This window comes from Homo sapiens, chromosome 2, assembly GCF_000001405.40.
Source record: "Homo sapiens chromosome 2, GRCh38.p14 Primary Assembly".
Classification (NCBI taxonomy): domain Eukaryota; kingdom Metazoa; phylum Chordata; class Mammalia; order Primates; family Hominidae; genus Homo; species Homo sapiens.
In genome coordinates this window covers 136,019,459-136,040,473 of record NC_000002.12, presented here as the reverse complement: position 1 = coordinate 136,040,473, position 21,015 = coordinate 136,019,459, and the positions used below count along the sequence as shown (strand labels likewise).

General features: G+C 40.2%; 1 annotated feature.

The window, feature by feature from the left end:
• Positions 20,641 to 20,760: an enhancer, noted in NCBI's record as "active region_16581". NCBI's record gives its function as "activates an Ori minimal core promoter by ATAC-STARR-seq in GM12878 lymphoblastoid cells {active_cell/tissue: GM12878}" and the evidence as "EXISTENCE:reporter gene assay evidence [ECO:0000049][PMID:35858748]".

The window sequence follows — 21,015 nt, the reverse complement described above, 5'->3', positions numbered from 1 at the left end:
GTGCATCCATCACCATGATCAGTTTTAGAACACTCATTACTCCCAAAAAGAAATACCATACCCCACAGCCACCCTCCCATAGTCTTCCCATCCTTCAAGTTTTAGGCAACCACAAATCTGATTTCCATGTCTATAGATTTGCCTACTCTAGGCATTTCAATAAAATGAAATTCTACAATTTGTGACCCTTTGTGACTGGTTCCACTCACTTAGCATAATACTTTCAAGGTTCATTCACATTGTAGCAGATATCAGTACCTATTTCTTTTTGTTGGCTAATAACATGCCATTGTATGAATATATCACCTTTTATGTATTCCTTAATCAGTTGATGGATTTGCATTGTTTTCATTTTGTGAATATTATGAATAATGCTGCTATGAATATTTGTATGCAAGTTTTTGTGTGGACACAAATTTCATTTCTCTTGGGTCTGTCTATAGTTAGGAGTGGAATTGCTACAACATATAGTAACTATATTTCACCATTTGAGAAACTGCCAGACTGTCTACCAAAGAATTTACCAAAGCATTTATGTTCCTGCCAGAAGTGTATGAGAATTCTAATTTCTCCACATACTTGCCAACACTTGATATTAACTGTCTTTTTTATTATAGCCATCCTAGTGGATGTGCAGTGGTATCTCATGGTGGTTTTGATTTGCATTTCCCTAATAACTAATTATGTTGAACATCTTTTTTATGTGCTTATTGACTATTTGTAGATCTTCTTTGGAGAAATATCTATTCAGATCCTTTGCCCATTTTAAATTGGGTTGTCTTTTATTATTGAATGGTAGCAGATTTATATTTTAAAAGGAACCTCAATATGTAAAAACTAAAAATTCAGTTAATATATATTGAGCACCTGTTATGTGCAGTGAAGGGCAGTACCATGTGTGCAAAAGCCACAATACGTGTGCAGAAGGGAAAATATGCATTAAGAAGCTTACCATTACTAAGGTGGATAGGGGTGTGAGACAAATAAACTAGTAGAGGAAAATCATATCAGCTTAGAAAATCAAAAGGGCTTTGTAGAAAATTTGGTATTTTTGGTGGGTCTTTAAAGTGGGGAGAATTTTGACAGAGAGATGGGAGAGGACATTTTGGGCAGAGAGAACAGCACAAAAGGGGCACAGGGACACTGGTGTTTAAGGCATGATAGGAGAACAGCAAGTAGTTTTTTGGCTAGAGAATGGAATGAGCAAAAGTCTAGGTGATGAGACTGGGAAAGGTTAGACAGGAACATATTAGGGAGGCGTGTCAGGTTGAAGAGTCTGTGTTCAAATCTCGAAATCAGTAGTTCTCAACTGGGCATAATTTTGGCCCCCAGAGAATACTTCACAACATCTGGGGATATTCTCGATTGTCACAACTGAGGATGCTACTATTAGTGGGTAGAGACCAAGGATGGTGCTAAGCACCCTACAATGCACTTCAGCCCCCTATAACAAAGAATTATCTGTCCCCAAATATCAATAGTGCCAAGGTGAGTCTGACAACAACCTCAGCTTACCACTTGGAGAGAATTTCCATGCTGCAGCACATAGAGAGGGACCCAGGCAGTGCCCAGGGCCCTTTTAAAGAAAGTATATTGACATGTTTAGAGAGAAGAGAGGATGGAATCATATAAGATGATCAATTAATAACAGAGAAAGCAGAAAGGGAAGGGAAGATAAATGGGATGGAAAAAGATATACCATGCTAACACAAACCAAAATAAAGCTGGAGTAACTGTACTAATTTCAGACAAGCCAGAATTTAGAACAAGGAAAGTTTTCAGCAACGAAGAAGGACACTGTGTAATGATAAAGGGGCTAATTCTCCAAGAAGATGTAACAATGCTTAAAGGTATATACCTAACAACACAGCATCAAAATACATGAGGTAAAAACTGATAGCACTGCAAGGAGAAATAGACAAATATTATAATTGGAAACTTTAACACCCTTCTTTCAGTAATTGATAGATCCAGCAGGCAGAAAAACCAGTAAGGACATATTGTAGTTGAACTGAATAGTACCATCAATCAACTGTATCTAATTAACACTTACAGAGTACTGCATCCAACAACAGCAGAGTACTCATTCTTCCCAAATTCACATGGAACATTCAATACAGACCACATTCTGGGCCATAAGATGTGCCTAAGCAAATTTAAAAGAATAGAAATCATACAAAGTATGTTCTCAGACCACAATGGAATTAAACTAGAAATCCATAATAGAAAGATGGTTGAAAATCCCAAAATATTTGGAGATTAAACAACACACTTCTAAAAAGACAAATTGAAAAGAATGAGATCATGTCCTTCGCAACAAGATGGATGCAATTGGAGGCCCTTATCCTAAGCAAATTAACACAGAAACAGAAAACCAAATACCACACGTTCGCTTATAAGTGAGAGCCAAACATCAAGTACTCATGAACACGAAGATGACAACAATAGACACTGGGGACTACCAGAGCCAGGAGAGAGAGGGGCAAGGGTTGAAAAACTAAATGTTGGGTACCATGCTCAGTGTCTGAGTGACGGGATCATTCAGACTCCAAACCTCAGCATCATGCAATATACCCAGGTAACAAACGTGCATGTATACTACCTAAATCTAAAATAAAAGTTGAAAAAGAAAAAAAAATTATACCAATAACTCACAAAAAATAAAAATAAAAAGACAAATCATACCAAATATTAGTAAAGATGCTTAAAACCGGACCTCTGATACCCTGCTAATGAGAATGTAAAATAGTACAACCAGCTTGGAAAACCGTTTCATGGTATCTTAAAAAGTTAGACATGCCAGGCGCGGTGGCTCATGCCTGTAATACCAGCACTTTGGGAGGCCAAGACACTTGAATCATTTGAGGCCAGGAGTTCAAGACCAGCCTGGCCAACATGGAGAAGCCCCAACTCTACTAAAAATACAAAAATGAGCTGGGTGTGGTATCATACACCTGTAATCCCAGCTACTCAGGAGACTGAGGCACAAGAGTCCCTTGAACCCTGAAGACAGAGGTTGCAGTAAACCAAGATTGCACCACTGTACTCCAGCCTGGGTAACAGAGAGAGACTGTGTCTCAAAAAAAAAAAAGAAAAAAGAAAAAAAAAGTTAGACATAAACCTACCCCGTGATCTAGCCATTCTAATCCTATGTATTTACCTGGAGAAATAAAAGCATATATCTATATAAAGACTTAGCCGTAAATGGTCATGCAGTTTTATTATAATAGCCAAAAACTGGAAACAACCAAATGTCCTTCAATGGGTATACGGACAAACAATTGTGATATGTCCATACAATGGAATACTACTCAGCAATAATGAGGAATGAACTGTTAACGAATGCTACAATCTGGGCGTGTCTCAAAATAATTCCTGAGTGAAAAAAAAGCCAGACAAAACAAGAATGCATGTTGTATGGTTACTTTCATATAAAATTCTAGGGAATGCAAACTAATCAACAGTGAATGCCTAGAGATTGTTGGGAGGAGGAGGGGATGCGTAGGGTAGGAGGCAGGGATTAGAAAGGGGAACAAGACAGTGCAGGGCTGTAATGCATATGTCCTTTATCTTGATTGCAGCAGTGGTTTCATGGGTGTATACATGTGTTGAAATTTATCAAATTGTACACCTAAATATATGCACTTTATTGCATGTCATTTATACTTCAAGAAAGCAATTTTAAAATACATATAATGCAAATATTCAAGAAAATTGAATTTTATATAATACGAATATTTCTTTTGCATGGAGGCAGATTAAGGCATTTTTCAATCTAAGCTTATTTTACTGGTTAGTTCCATTGTTTATCACAGACCACCGAAATGCTAAAAGTATAGTGAAAAACTAACTCAGCACCTTATCTCATTTTGTTTTGTTCCATGAATTATTCCTTTGGTAAATGTGTGTTTTGTTATGAGGGTAGCTGGGTAAGAGTATGTAGACAGAAAAGAGGCTCAAAATAAATGATGATAGGTCATTTAACATTATCTTCTTATACAAAAGACAGCATATTGTATTTCTACAAATACGTATTTTATATCTACACTTTTACCAGGCATCTTCTTGCAAATGTCAGCTTCTAGAGACAGAAATCACATTATTTATGAGTGCTTCATAGAGCATCTGGGGCCTAAACATGCTATTTGATGAGAAAGATGTTTCAACCAAATCTTAATTTTGCTCTCAAAAATCTATTTACTTATTTTGCAGCTGCTTAAAACAAGTGTGGACTTTTAGGGCTCTAAAAAAGGCAAACGAGCAAACAGAACCCATTCTTTTATACACCATCTGAATATCATGAGGTTCATTTTGCGTGACTACGTTTTAGATTCTGGGCATGTGGACCTTTATTTACTTTCTTAGAAGCCTTAAGTACTCTCACCTTTGCAGGCTTTCCCTGGCGATCTGTTGATGGCCAGTTTAGTTATGAGTTTCTCAACCAAAGGGTACTTTACTCAGGAATTAACGTGCCTCAGCCTGTCACCTCTAGATATCATTAGCTTAATCACATTTTAAGCTTATTTCACTACATTGAAAGGAAGAGAGGAAGATTAATGTTTTATAAAGCCCAAGTTAGGTGAATATATTAAACAAAGCAATGCTTCCAAAGGTTTCCATTTTAACAGGTCACATAAATAACTTTTCTCCAATGAACCGGCTTCTTTGTTTCCCTCTTTTATGAGTTGGCTTTTCTTTCTTGACATCTTTGAAATAATCACCCATTGAGAGGTGCAGTTGGAGGAGTGCAGACTCTGTTCAGGACAGCAAACACTCTTCACTCTGAACATGGATTTAACACACTGTGTGAACTTCTCATATGGACCTTAGCACCGTCTACTGAGCACTGTTGTTTTTATTTTCCATATATTGAGCCAAAAAATGTAGGTTCCTGGGCCTTTTCTATGATGCAACAAGTCAGAATCTTAGAGGGAGGGGCCTCAGGAACCTAGCTTTGTAAAAAGCTTCCCAAGTATTTCTAATACACACTGATTTTTGAGAAACTTCAACTAGAGCCAAATTTTTCAGTCTATGGGTAGACCCATTATAGCATATAAAATCAATGCATTCAGTTATAACAAGCATTTTTTGAAATGAAATACAAAAAAGTATAGACTAGAGTACATCAGAATGCACCCAAGTTATAAAGATATGGAACTAGGGAAAATACACTTTTGGGTAAATTTTGTGAATACATACATATTATAATATGAAATACATATAACAACATAAAAAAATGTGTTTGTATGTGTGAGCACATATATCACATAGTGATTATCAGATATACATGACATCATGAGATTATATATTATAAATATATATTATTATATATAATAAATATAATATATAACATTATATAATAAAATTATATATTAGATCTATAATCTCATGATGTCATATAAATATATATATATGAGAAATCTCATGTATTTTTTTCCCATGAAAACCACTAGCTAGAGGAATTCTTCAGATAACCCTCCCATTGGGCTGCTTCTCTGAACTCCAAGCAACAGCGAGTCTGAGGTCATACCTGTGAGAAGAACTCTGTAGCCAGGTAGATGTCATGTGTCCTAAACCATCAGCCCAAGTGGGGCAAAAGTGAGTCACATTTGTGAAGAGCTGAAGAGCTAAACCAAAATCAGAAACTGAACGTGAGACCAGAGATCTCAACAAACTCCCTGAAGACTGGCCCAAGAGTCCCCTCAAGGCAGAATTTGGGCTCTCCCTAGCACAAAGGTAGAATGAACAAGTCTAGGTTCGTCTCTGTGACTGAACAGCACCTCCCCAATCTAACCACTTTCTCTCCCTCTTCTTACATATGACCTCTTCTCCTGCTCAGGAAAAATCTAACCTATATGAGTCTAGGGCTTACAGCTGAGACATCTATTCCCTGCCTTCTCCACCTGAGAAATGTCCATATTACAATTCCAAGCTTAATTTCTATCTCCTTGGTAAAAATTTTCCAAGCCACAGTCAAAGTTCCCTTCTCTGAAGTTCTACATTTTTTAATTCATTATGATGATTTTACTTCTATGAATGTATGCATTCATTCAAAACAAATATTTATTAAGTACCTGCTGTATGTCAGATACTGTGTTGGTAGGAAATTCATCACTCAGGCAAATGACGTACATTGTTTGACTATAAATAAGTCAAACAGAAATTGTTAACTAATTGACTATTAATATGCATTTTTGCTTCCTACCTATGTTTTTTTCGTTTTTTCTCTCCTGTCCTTTTCTTAGTTTTTAAACTGGGTAATAATAGATGCAGTGAAAGAACATCAAAGTTCAGAGCCAATTGAGTGGCAGGTAGTTGTGCTGATTTTCTCATAGCTGTACAATATAGGGCTGCTTTTGTGTAGATGTGATCATATTTAATCAAACTAAAAACACTTATCAGGAATGTATCTGAATATATTCCAAGCATATCTATCCTAAAAAAGCAAGTCCGCTGAATGCATAATATACTTTTTCATTTGTTTCAATTTGATCAACTTGGGATGCTTAAATGAATACATAATACACTCACATCTCCCTAGGAATATCCTAAACCAAAAGCTAAGAACGACTTGCTCCTTTCTTTGCTACATAAGCTTTAGGAGTAAAAATATTGCCTTTTGCAGTTTTAAACAAGGAACTAAAATAAAATATATTTTGAAAAAAAGGGATAAAAAAGTATACTATATTTCTGTAATTGAGTAGTTTGAAATAGCTGTGAAGCTGAATCCACAAACCCTCTTACAATAAAGCTTTTGAAATACACAACAATATATATCAATTACAGAAAAATTTGAAAACAGATAAGTACAAAGAAAAATAGTTTTTAAAATCACCTGTAATCCTACCACCTATGGAATAACACTTGGACTATATCAATAGGTCTTACTGAAGAAGTCTTTAGGTTTTTCTTTTTAATACTGATTTGAAATCTTTGGATTTGCTAGCTCTAAGAATAGAACTATGTCATCCAGCCTTTGACATAATGTTAGAATCAGATAGAAAAAAACCAATATGGAACAGGCAGTATGTTCCAAGAAACTTCCTATGCACCGTTCTTAATGCAGCTATTAAAATGGGGGAGAAAAACTGTTAACAAAAGGTAAATTTATCACCAGGACAAGATATGCTATTATTGCCTTAATAGCCAAATTACTCTGTGATATTACTTTCACTCAAGAATGTTCTATGCTTAATAAGAAGTGTCAGGATGGGATGTGCTTGGCATTTTCACGCTCATTGATTGCAGTGCCTCTGAGCATTATAGAATGTTCAATGGAAATGTAATTTTCCAGCTAAGTTACAGCTCTGCAAAGGATTAGGGAAACTCAAACCCTAGATTTCATCCTACAGATTTTGAAGTTAATGTTATTATGACTATCTCACATGCCAGGGTAAACCCAATAGTGTTAAGTTACACTCATGAGAATAGAGTGAAACTACAATCACCAACTTACCACAGACTTATAAAAAAGAAAAAATTCACACAGACTAACTGCTGCTTTAAAGGAAACTTAACTAATGACAGTACTGCAAAGATGAAAGCAACTTGATCTCTACATATTAATGTCAATATGTCCATGCGTATCCCACTATAATGACAATATAAAAATGGAAAGATGTCAGGATATCTAAGCATGGTGTTAATGTCTAGACAAAATTAAATTTGATCAAAGAACAAAGATATTGTCACTATCAATCTTAACTTCCTTCTGTTAAGTTTAATTATGAGCGTACCCATAATTTATTTCCAAGATCCCCGAGACATTCTGACTAGTACTCTGGAACTTTTTACTTGGCAGTTCAGAGATTGAGATATTTTAAGAACATAAGCCTATAATAGCATATTTATAGATAATTATATATATATAACATGATTCCCTGATCTTTTGATAATGCTAGGACCCGTTGAATGAGAGCTTGAGTGAAAGCAGTAATTCAAATTTCCTTCCTTTGTGATTTTTTTCATCTAAATCTCACCATGGCTTTTTCATTGTTTGGGCCTTATTGTATAAAGGGCAGAGCGAGCCTGATAAGAGCAAAGGAAAGGCTTAACACAGTTTGGAGAAAGCAGTGTGGATTTCCTCCAAAATCAGCACAGGGACCCGCCCTGGGGGCCTGGAACCATGGGAATTTCCTACTGAAGGATGTACCAGACTATAACATAATTTTCACCATAAGATTAATGGGACTTGGACTATGGAACATTCTCTGACTCTGGGTAAAATCAAATACCACAAATTAGAAGTTGAATTTTTCTTTTTTATGGATACCAGCATATTGTCGAGGAGAACCACAGACTACATACAGGGAGAAAGGAAGATTTCTCCTGCATCTCCTATGAACTGTGAAAAATTAAAATTCTATGCTTGAAGACAGCAACCACACAAAGCTTCAGAAGAAGAAAAAACTTTAAAGCCACTTCTGAAAACCGATGAATGTCACATATTATGCTCACAGGATATCCTATCCAAAAGGATTTGCTCCTTTCCACTGTCAGCTTGCAGCTGTGACTGTCACATTCTTGGGGTGAAACTATGCTCCACATCCACTTAAGCCTGATCTGTCCATGAAAGTTACCAAACACAAAAATGCAGCCACTGGAACATCCTGCCCTCCCATCGCTACCGTAAATACTTTGGATACTGCTTGATTTATTAACGTGGTAAGTGATTCTACTAGAACAGTCGTTCTCAACACGGGGCAATTTGCCCTTCGGAGGACATTTGGCAATGTTTGGAAACATTTTTGATAGTCACAACCAGAAGGTGTTTGGGGCTGCTACCGGCATCCTGTGGATAGAGGCCAGAGATATTGCTAAACATCCTACAACTCATAGAAGAGCCCCCACAGCAAAGAATTATTTTGCCTGACGTGTCAATAGTGGCAAGGTTGAGATATGCTGAGCTGGAGTTTTTTATTTTAATTTTTTGTACCACTGCTCCGTGGAAATGATTATGTAGGTGGATGTGTAGGAATGAAATAAGAGTATATTTATTCACTCTGGTATTTCTCCACCCATCAACACCCTACTGTCTACCTTTATATAAGTGGTCACCATTCTGCTTTCACCTAAAGCCATGGCTTCCTACTGAAAGACACAAAGAGTCACTTTTAGCACAAAACAAATGTTTCTCTCTTCTAGGAGCCAAATGGTAAATGCTAACTTTTCAAGTGACTTCAACTATTTTGATGATGAATTGAGCTTCTTCTCTAGCCAGTGATGAAAAACAACATAGATAATAGTCTCTGCAGCTGTTGGGAGGCCTGTCTCTCTCTCTCTCTCTCTCTCTCTCTCTCTCTCTCTGTGTGTGTGTCTGTGTGTGTCTGTGTGTGTGTGTGTGTGTGTGTGTGTGTGTTTTGTCTAGATTAGCTGTCCTGGCTACATCAATTCATGTGCTTTACCAAGCAAAATGTCTCCTTCCTAAAATAGGGTAGTCAAAGAAACCAGATCAACCTGGAAGGAAACATAAAACCATGGGAAAGAAGATAAGGCTGACCACACCACGTAATCATCTGTTTTCAGAAGAATCAAAGGCTTGCAATGCCAAGGCCACCTGTTGAAGTCCAGGAAAAGAAACATTGGAAGAAGACAAAAATGCCCATGAGGATGCAATGACAGGGCAAAGCATAAATAGAGGTTGGGGGACAGAGAGGGCCACATTCTTTTACCAGAACTACCTCAGAACCATGCCCCAAAATCTAGGCATTGCCTGCCTTCTTTTAAAAGTGCCAAAGGATAATATACATCCTCCCTTGATTGCACATCACAGAGTTTACAGCCCTACTCCGATAAAAGCAGATATCTCTATTTCCTGAGATGTTTGAGTCTGAAAAGCAGAGTGGTCTGCATGACCTGATAAGCCCTTATCTGGTATCATCTTTTGACATGGAGCACATTTTTATTCCATGTGCATGGATTATAGAAACTATGATGTGAAGGAAAAGGCCAAGTCCTTGCCAAAAACCAGAGCCCCTTATCGGAGAGAGAACTTGAACTTATAATGAGGCAAGAGCGACAGAAAGAAATATCCCTTGCTCAGAATGAGTTTTCCACTGTCTATCACAGTGCTTGAAAGTCACCATCAGTGATTCATTCCTCCTTTCTCCTTACGCTCCAGCTACAGAAGGAAATGTGGGTTTCTCCTTACACTCCAGCTACAGAAAGACACTTCGGGATTCTGTGTCCTGCCCCCATTCCCTTTATCACTCTGTCCCTCACCCTCATCCCCACCCTTGTCTTCTCTTTCATTAAAATAGGCTTAGGTGTCATTTTGATTCTTCTTTTTTTTTTTTTTGAGACGAGTCTCGCTCGGTCACCCAGGCTGGAGTGCAGTGGCGCGATTTCGGCTCACTGCAAGCTCTGCCTCCCGGGCTCACGTCATTCTCCTGCCTCAGCATCCTGAGTAGCTGGGACTACAGGCGCCCGCCACCACTCCTGGCTAATTTTTTCGTATTTTTAGTAGAAACGAGGTTTCACCGTGTTAGCCAGTATGGTCCTGATCTCCTGACCTCGTGATCCGCCCACCTCAGCCTCCCAAAGTGTTGGGATTACAGGTGTGAGCCACCGCGCCCGGCCCCAGGTATCATTTTTAGGTAACTTCCCTTTTGATCCTACCCCACCACCCCCTTCTATGCTTCTGTAATAATCAGTTCATAACATCATCATTATACCTAAGATATTTCACATCCATTCACAAATTCCAGTGGATCTCAATTGTTTAGTGAGCAAAATATTCACTTGAGGGAGTTGTTAAAATACAGATTCCCTTGCCCTGTGCAGATTTTGATTTAGCAATTGTGGGGTGGGCCCAGCAGGCAACATTTGTAAATAAAACATTCCCCAGCGATTCCTTTTTTTAAAATGATTTGTTAATCTTTATTGAAGTATAATAACACATTTTAAAAATGCATATATTTAAGGCATTCGAGGTAGTGTTTTGACATAAGCATACCTTTATAACGATTTCCACAATCAAGCTACTTTTGTGTGTATGGTGAGAACACTTGAGGTCTACTCCCTTAGCAAACTTCCAGTATCTAATACATGATTATTAACTAGAGTTACCATGCTGTACATTAGGTCTTCAGAACTTATTCATCTTATAACTGAAAGCTCGTGCCTTTTGACCAACATCTTCCCATTTCCCCCACCCCCTGGCAACCGCTATTTCTCCGTTTCTCTCAGTTCAACTTTTTAGATTTCACATGTAAGTGCCATCATGCACTATTTGTCTTTCTGTGATCCCTGGTGATTCTGGTGCTGGTGTTCGTCAACCACACTGAAGAACCTGACCTTGTCTACACTCCAAGCCCCTTGACCCTCAAGGCTACAAGCCATGTTTAATTTATCTTCATATCCCTGGTGCTGACCCAGGACCTGACACAAGGAAAGTCCATGCTTGATAATAACTGTTGAAGGAATGAGTCCTGAAACATCTCCAACTGAAAAGGCCAATTAAGGCCAGGCATGGTGGCCCACGCCTGTAATCCCAGCACTTTGGGAGGCTGAGGTGGGAAGATTGCTTAAGCTCAGGAGTTTAAGACCAATCTGAGCAACATAGTGAGACTCCCCTCTTCTCTATTAAATATTTTTTAAAAATTAGCCAGGTGGGTTGGGCTCAGTGGCTCACACCTGTAATCCCAGCACTTTGGGAGGCTGAGGCGGGTGGATCACGAGGTCAAGAGATCAAGACCATCCTGATCAACATGGTGAAACCCCGTCTCTACTAAAAATACAAAAATCAGCTGGGTATGGTGGTGCACACCTGTAATCCCAGCTACTCAGGAAGCTGAGGCAGGAGAATCGCTTAAACCCGGGAGGTGAAAGTTGCGGTGAGCCAAGATGGCGCCACTGCACTCCAGCCTGGTGACACAGTGAGACTCTGTCTGAAAAAAAAATTAGCCAGGTGTAGTGGCATGCGCCTGTGGTCCCAGCTACTTGGGAGGCTGGGGTGGGAGGACTGCTTGACCCCAGGAGGTCAAGACTGAAGTAAGCCATGATTGCACCACTGCACTCCAGCCCAGGCGACAGACTGAGACCTTGTCTCCAAAAAAAAAAAAAAATGTTGATTGAGATGTCAAAGTCTTAAATGTGGAGTTGCTGAGAGTGTGAGAATAGGAAGGAAACTAGAAAGCAGGGGTGATGGAAAATTCCTAAAATCAAATTTCCATTTGCTTCACATTTTGTCAAGGAACACTGCACCAGTCCCTCCTTCACTTTCAGCATCAACCCACTACTGAGCTTCCCTCGGCCCACCATGCCCACGGTTACAACAGTTAGCTACCCGTGAGATTTTATACCATCTTTCTACCGTAGCCCACACCCTCCTAGTACTGCAGTCGGGAAGTAGGAGCGCTTTAAGCGCCCCCGTGTACTGTCTCAGCATCCTTTTTTTGTTTTAGCTTTATTGAAGTATAATTGATACACCGAAGTGTGCACACATTGAATGTATACATCTTGATGAGTTTGGACATATGCGTATACCCATGATATTATCATCAAAACCAAAGCATGTAATATTTCCATCATCTCCAAAAATTTCCTTGTGTTTATTTGTTATTATTATTATTTTGTAAGAACACTTGCAATGAGATCTGTCCTATTAACATATTTTAAAGTGCACAATATAGTGTTGTTAGCTATAGTTACTAAATTGTATAGCAGGTCTCTAGATCTTAATCATCATCCGTTCTTAATAACTGGTAGTGCCCAGCCTAAGATATAATGTTTAAGAGCTCAATTTGAAGGAAAGCAAGGAGTAGGTCTCATATCATACTATTTTTGGACAAACATAAAGGAAAGTTTGTATTCACACAACTAGTAAAATCTGGAAAAGAATATAGATCCTGGTTTGTAAATCAAAGTCTTGTGTATGCTGTTTGGCATAGATGTTAGCCGGAAGTGTGTGTGTGTGTGTGTGTGTGTTTGTGTGTGTTTGTGTGTGTCTGTGTGTGTGTGTGTGTGCGCGCGCGCACGTGCAGTTAAAAATAAGCTGGCCGACAATTTTCTAGTTTCCTATTGGAGCAAAAAGTTTAATTCTTTGTTCCAGTGTTCCCATCCTGGTTCATTGTGAGCTGAAACTGTTCGCCTAACCCTCAGGGTCAAAGAGTTCTGTGTAATTGGAATGCTATTTTGTTTTCAGGCTGTTTGATGTTAATGGCTTGATTACCAATACAGTGGTGTAGCAAGGAGTTTCATTTTGGGAGGTCTTAGTACCATATGTCAACAAATAACAAGAAAAACATTCCTTCATGTCTCCAAAACACACACACACACACACACACACCCCAAATCCTGATTTACTCCCCCAACAACAAATCTCTTTCTAAACATTCCATCTAAAAAGCTTTCCAATTAAATACTTTTTTAAAACCAGCTTTTTATTTTGGAATAACCTTAGATGAACAGGAAGTTGCAAGGAGAGTACAGAGAGTTTTTGTATACCCTTCATCAATTTCTCCTAATGTTAACATTTAACATAACTTTGGTTCATTTGTTCAAACCAGGGAATAACAAACTGTAGCAGCCTGTAGGCCAAATCCAGCCCACTGTCTGTTTTTGTAGGGCCTGAGAGCAAAGAGTATTAAATGTTTAATGGTTAAACAATCAAAAGAAGACTAATACTTCATGGCATGTAAAATTTATATGAAACTGAAATTTCAGTGCTCATAAATAAAATTTTAGCCAAACAAGTTGGTTCACACCTGTAATCCCATCACTTTGGGAGGCTGAGGCAGGAGGATCACTTGAGGCCAGGAGTTTGAGACCAGCCTGGGCAACATAGTGAGACTCTATCTTTACCAAAAAAAAAATTTTTTTAATTAGCCAGGCAGTGAAGTGTGCCTGTAGTCCTACCTATTTTGGAGGCTGAGGCAGGAGGATTGCTGGCACCCAGGAGTTCAAGACTGCAGTGAGCTCTGCCATTGCACTCCAGCCTGGGCAACAGGCTGGGCAACAGAGCAAGACTCTGTCTCAAAAAAATAATAATGATAAATTTAAAAATAAACTTTTACTAAAATAGAGCCATGCTCATTCCTTTATATATTTGTCTGGTTGCTTTAGCTCTACAGTGACCGAGTTGAGTAGTGGCACACAGACCATCTGGACCACAAGCCCCAGAGTATCTCCTCTGCTCCTTTACAGAAAAAGCTTGCTGACTCGGGGTCTAAACTAAGAAATTAATGTTGTTACATTACTATTAACCAAAGGACAGGCTTTATAGCACCAATGTTTCCAATTTCACGATGCAATCCAGGAACCACACTACATTTAACAAATGTATTTTCGTATGGTGAGCCTCCATCTATTTATCCACCAGGTGCATGGTAGGTTCTACTTTGGAAAATTTTCCTGACTCACAAATGAATTTCAGCTGGACACTTAAACAAGGTTTGTTTTTGTTGTTTGTCTGGGGTTATTTATGTCTTTCACACAATAGGCAGACAATGGAATACAACATCTGGGCTAGGAATGCTGTGCGAACTTGAAGATGGAGGAAGAGCTGTATTTGTTCAAGCAGTTCACGCGCTGGGCTAAGATAGAGCACCAATTCAGGGCCTTGAGAAAAGGGGGTTCCCAATGTCCCCCCTCGCACGGTGTGAGGCCTTCTCCTGATCCCACGCAATCCCTGCCTCAGCTCCCTGTCCTTTGTTTCCTGTTCCCCGGGACCGGCCTGTGAACCACGCGGCTATGCCTTTCAACCCGGCTGCGGCGGCTTTCAGTGCGCTCTGCAGGCGCGATCGGGCGGCGTCCAGTTGCCGGGCAACGGCCTGACAGGCAGCTCACGTTGCCGCCAGGGCCAAGACATCCGCACCAGCCAGTCTGCACCGCGAGCCTGTGGCCTGATTTCTCCCCCTCCATTGTTGTCGCTAATACAAAAGGCTACAACTCCAGTGTGGTCACTGGGCCTGCATTGAATTACACGCCAGGCCATTCTTCGGGCCGGAGCCTTTGTAGGCTGGGATGCGTTTCCTCCCAGGGCCAGAACTCTGGGCCTCGCCAGCCTTTACGAGTTGTCTGCCTCCCTCCGCCACTTCCACCCACCTACCGCCTTTGTTCCTTTCAGCTGGCAGCCAGGCCCTCGCTTGCCTTTTGGTTGGTATGAGATCACTGGCGGCGGGCTTGAGCAGTCCTTCCCACCCGCTCCCCTCACTCTCAATTAAGCACTGCGCGTAAAATCCCAGGCCTATTCAGTCATCTCTTCTTATCTCTTTCTCAACCATCCCCCCAACACCCATCCCTCTCTCTCAAGTTTCTAAGGCTGCCGTTGCTAGGGAACTCAAACCTGAGGGCTGAAGGGAGGTTTTCTAAGGTGTCTGCCAAACTCCCAAAACTCAGAGGGCGGAGGCAGCACAAAGTCTTTGGGATTCCCCAAACGCTGAAGAGAGTTACATGTAACTCACCACCCTCTACCCCATATCCTTGTGTTCAGCATCATGTTTGGATTCCGGGAAATTCAGTGGTGAAGTGGGAAAAGAGATTTCAAATCACACTAAGAAGCAATTTCTCCTAATGTAAAAGCTGGAAGGGGTCTCCTCTCAAAGGAAAAACATCCCAAGGTATGAGTTTATTTTTCTTCAACAGTGTAACATGGACAAAGAGTGTTCTTACATCAGCTATTTGATAGAAATCCTTACTTAATGAGGGAGGAATGCGTGACGATAACAATATGCTATCTGGCTTTTTAAATACCAATACCAGGCTTTACATGGTGGCTCATGCCTGTAATCCCAGCACTTTGAGAGGCCCAGGTGGGAAGATTGCTTGAGTCTAGGAGTTCGAGACCAGCCTGGGCAACAAAGTGAGACCCCTGTGTCTACAAAAAATAAAAATAAAATTAGCCAGTTATGGTGGCCTGAGCCTGTAGTCCCAGCCACTATAGAGGCTGAGGCGGGAGGATGGCTTGAGCCCAGGAGTTTGAGGCTGCAGTGAGCCTTGATCTCTGCAGTGAGCCGTGATCATGCACTCTAGCCTAGGTGACAGAATAAGACCTTCTCTAAAAAAATAAATAAATACTATTACCATTGTGAAATGCCTCCTCAGCTGGGGTCCCCAAGTGTGGGCTCCACTCACAGCGCCATCCGCAGGCCGGAGCAGGAGTGCATGCTGGCTACAACCAGTGTGGGAATCCAGGTCTACCTTGCTCCTGCAGCCTTCTGCCATCTCTTTGTGTTTCTCCGATTATTCCCTCTACCCTCTGTGTAATATTCTGTTAAAACCTAGGCATAAGGCTGGGCATGGTGGCTCACACCTGTAATTCCAGCACTTTGGGAGGCTGAGGCAGGTGGATCACCTAAAGTCAGGAGTTCGAGATCAATCTGGCCAACATGGCAAAACCCTGTCACTACTAAAAATACAAAAATTAGCCAGGCGTGATGGTGGGCGGCTGTAATCCCAGCTACTTGGAGGCGGAGGTGGGAGAATTGCTTGAACCCGGGAGGCAGAGGTTGCAGTGAACCGAGATCATGCCACTGCACTCCAGCCTGGGTAACAGAGCAAGACTGTAAAAAAAAAAAAACACCTAGTCACAATGAAGTAAGGTAGGCCATGAGAGGGATTCAAACCATACATTGTAACTTATTCTTAATACACAATTCATATTATGAGGGTGGCAGGGAGAAAGTCAAAGCCTGTATACGTTTCCTCTATTTTAACTTTTTCAGTTGGTCAAGGCTAAACTCCAGTTACCATAAATTCAGTCAAGCAGGGGTGATGTGCAAGTATTTGTCAACCAACGTGGCACAAGCACTGACCTATCAGAACAGATGCCTTACGGAGGGGCCTGGACCCTGGCTGGTAGCCAGCATGAGCACAACCCAGATGAACAACACTCCTGATACCCACTGAGATCACAGCCCCATACTAGGCAATTGCTGGGCTTCAAAGGGAAGCCCAACAGGCAACACATTGTCTTCTCCTCAAGATATTTACCTTTTGGTTAAAAAATAACTAAAACTAGCATACATGAAATGATACCAAATATTAGAAGAAAATAAAATTTACTTCATAGCTTGGCATTTTCTCATTAATAATAATAGCTAAACTTTCACAACAACCCTAAGAAATTATTAGTATTATTATTACCCCCAATTTACGTATATGGAAACTGAATCACTACAGACTTCTTCCCCCAGCTTTGGTATATGTAGGATAGAAGGAAAAAGAAGAGGAAGACACTTATTAACCGCTGTGGTGTTTCAGGTGCAGTTCCAGGCAAGATGGGCCATGTCTGCAAATGACCACATTGTAGAAACATAGATTTAGCAGGTATGTGTAGGACAAATAGGAGGAAGAAAAGCTGTGATCAAGAGCACTAATTAGGAGATGATTGGAAGAGTCTAGATCAAAAAGTATAGGAAGGAAACTAAGGGAATCATAGTAAACTAGTTTCAGTTATCTAGCAAACTCAGGGCAGCAAAAACAGAATGCTTTGAGGGAAAAGAGAAAAGAATGTCAGGGCTATAGGGGATCCCTGGGAGGAGGGACTCCAAGCCTCAACCACAGAGTGGCAGTTGGGTAATAAGGCCTTCCTTCAAGACAAGCAGATGAAGAAAGGAAAGAAGTGATGTAAGAGGCACTTGGGAAAGAATCTTAGCCACTGATTTGTGAGGGGGATGAGACAGAAGAGTAAAAGTGGTGGAGGTTTTAAACATGCAGAAGTTTGTTATAATAAACAGCTAAAGCGCCTAACTCATCTCTGAGTAGCTTACCAGCAGAAAAACTGAACTAATGAATAAATATTAAATTACTTTATGTTATGCAAAACAGTGCTAGGCACACAATAGTAGCTAATTGAGTATTTATTAATTGCTTAAATAAATTGAGGAACAAAGATATGTGCCAATCCTAAACTTTTCTTCAAATTGATGTGCTTTCAGCTTCTGCCCTGGGTGCAAGGCATGGAGGTACAATAGAAAGAAGCAGAAGACTTTGGTTTGTATCCTGGTTCTGGCTGTAACTTGTAGGTCACACCTTAAGGTCATTTCATTCCTCTGTTCTTGGGTGTCCTTGCCTGTCGAATGCTGGGGCTGGACTAAATAAACTATGAAAATCCGAATTTTACAAACATATATCCACCCAAAGTACTTGAAGAAAAATGAAGCATTTTGCACTGAACAGAGCTTGGCAATTTTCTCCAAAGGCAATAGAAATGCATCTGACTAAATGGTGAAGGAGATGATCATAAGCTCTTTTCCTATAAGAATCCTGGCAATTTTCACACTCTCGGAGGGACTTTCCCATCAATTTTGATTCCCATGATTTCACACTCATGGAAATTTCCTCAGAGAAGCAGTTTCTTTGGCAACTTCATGCTCATGATCATCATAGCATCAATAGGAGTGACGCAGACATGTCAGCAGGAGAATAGGCCTCTTCTGAGCAGTGGGAAAAGGCGCTGTCTCCTTTTGTTACCAAAAAAATAAATACACAAGACACAAAAGATTTTTACCACACTTGTCACATACAGTGAAATAAGCGGAAGATAAAGCTAAAATAATCTCCATAAAACAAAGGCTTTGTGTGTGTTTCAAAGACATTTTATGTTGCATAACATGGAATTAACTCTAGCTCTTTGAGCATTACATATATATATGAGCATTACATATATATATATAATGCTCATATATGAGCATTATATATATATATGTGTGTGCGTGTGTGTATAATGCTCAAAGAGCTGGAGCTAATATATTCTGAAATGCAAGTATATTGAATTCTTCCTTATGCTTCCCCTCCCAGGAAAACAGGATGCCACTTAAAAAAAAAAAAAGACTGAAAAGAAACATTGTTTGGGGAGAGCTTATCTATAAACAATGAGTTGTCCTCAACAATAAACAGTTCCACCAAGTGGTACCCGTGGTCACATTCACTATGCCTTGGTTTGGTATATGTTGTACTAAAATCTTGACTTAGCTTTGATTTACTATTGTCTGTTTAGTTGCATGTTCTTCTGATTGTGGTCCGTGGATCAGCAGCAACAGCATCATCTGGGAGTTGGTTGAAACACAGAATCTCTAGCCCTACCCAGGCCTATTGCAGCAGAATCTGCCTTGTAAAAAGACCCCCAAGTGATTTTTACATTATTACCAGAAATAGACTGCTCTACTCTACAACACCCCCTCTATCAGAGATAATGTTCAAAAGTGGTTTGATTATTTTGAAATGGCATTTTCCTTTCTGGGGAAAAAACTATAGAAATCATTGGCTACATCGGTCAAAAATGGCACTAGTACTCCAGTGACAGAGAACAATGAAATGTAGCATGCTATCATTAGTGTAAGAAAATGCCAACAGACACCTGTGATCAATGAGGCTTGCATTTGTGGTAATTTTGGGACTCCTCCATCCACATTCTCTTGACCCAGGCTTCCTATGACCAAATGTTCACTTTTGCAAGATGGCTGAGGTTAAGAGTGCAATCTGGCCACAGAAAGGAGAAAAGCTTGCTGACCCATGCTGACCTCTGACCTTGACCTCATTAGCTAACCAAATGAGCTAACCAGCCATGGACATCAGAGAGCATTATGTGTTGATTGAGCCGAAGCATAAGAAGGACCAGTAAAAGATCAGTCATAAAGACATTTCTACCTTGATCACCTATACTTATTAAAATGATATGAGGAGCACATATGCGATTTCTTTTCTATCTTCCTGCATTTTTCACCATTGTACAGCAGGACTTGAAGACAACAAAAGGTTCTTTTCTTTCATAGCTCTCTACTCTTTTCCTTCAAAGTAATTAAATTGTAATTATAAATTTATTCTTGTCTTTATTCATTTATGATAGTCTCTACCACTAAAACCCCTAAAGGCAGAAATCTTCTTCCTCTGGTTGGCCATCTATACCCAGCACTTACCAAGATCTCCAGTGCCCAGTAGGAGTTCAAGAAACATTTGCTGAGTAATGGACTAAATGAATAAATGAGTGAATAGTGGGTCAGAGCTCTAAAACCAAATCTACCAAAACTATCCTCTAACATTCAAGAAGCATTGAATATTCTATTATGATAGGGATTGGATATACAAATTTGCCTTCCTTTTTTCCACATTCCTGTGGAAAAGATAGATTTATAATAATATTAACAGCTAATATTGTAGTCACTGCTTCAGGCACGTTACACATATTAACCTTGATCCCAACAGCAGCTCTAGGAGACATTATCTCCATTCTGTAGTCTGGGCCACAGAAAGGTTAAGTAACTTGCCCAAGGCCACACCTCTAGTACCTGTATGTGAATGCAGGCTGGCTGGCTCCAGAAGCCATACTCTTAATAAGGCACATTGGTTACTTGCCTTCCAATAAGCCAGCAGCGACTGGATATTATGAGAAGCGGTCAAAGAAATAGACACAGGATCTAACGAAGCACAGAAGGGACAACTAGTTCCAAACCCAGCCTATGCTCTTCAAACAAATAATCAAAAGCGAGCACTTGCTGCCAAGGAAGAATTCCCTGGCACGGTCTGTGTGGTGGCTGCAATGCGCAGCATGGTGTTCCTTGGGGTTGGAGTCAGCCTGCCGGAGGGTCAATTTCATCTTTCCTCAGCTTGCTCTTTTCAGCCTTGGTAGCAAGAGAGATCCCAGTCCAATAAAAACGTGTATTAACCTACACTGTGAGTTTGAGGCAGGAAGCAAGCCCTGGCTTCAACAGTTTAGTGGATTCAGAGGAAGCTGGAACAGGATATCAATGACATCCAGATTCACAACTTAGGGCACAAGAGGATAATCACATACCCAGGCACAACGCGTACAACTGTTTTCCCTCTTGGCCATCTCTCTACCTTTATTCTTCCTTTCTCCCCCAGCCAGGGAGGGACCTGTCTCCTTCAGTCTTAACATACATTAGGGTCTTTCAAGTAGAATCACTTCCTTTAATTCCTGATAGGTTATGAGCGTGACCTCTGGTTCCGCTTCATGTGTTTCAAGCTGAGATACCATCAGAAATCACATTTCCCTTCCAGGGCTTCACAAATTACTCTGGTGTGCAGATGACATAAAAATATACTCTCAGTTCC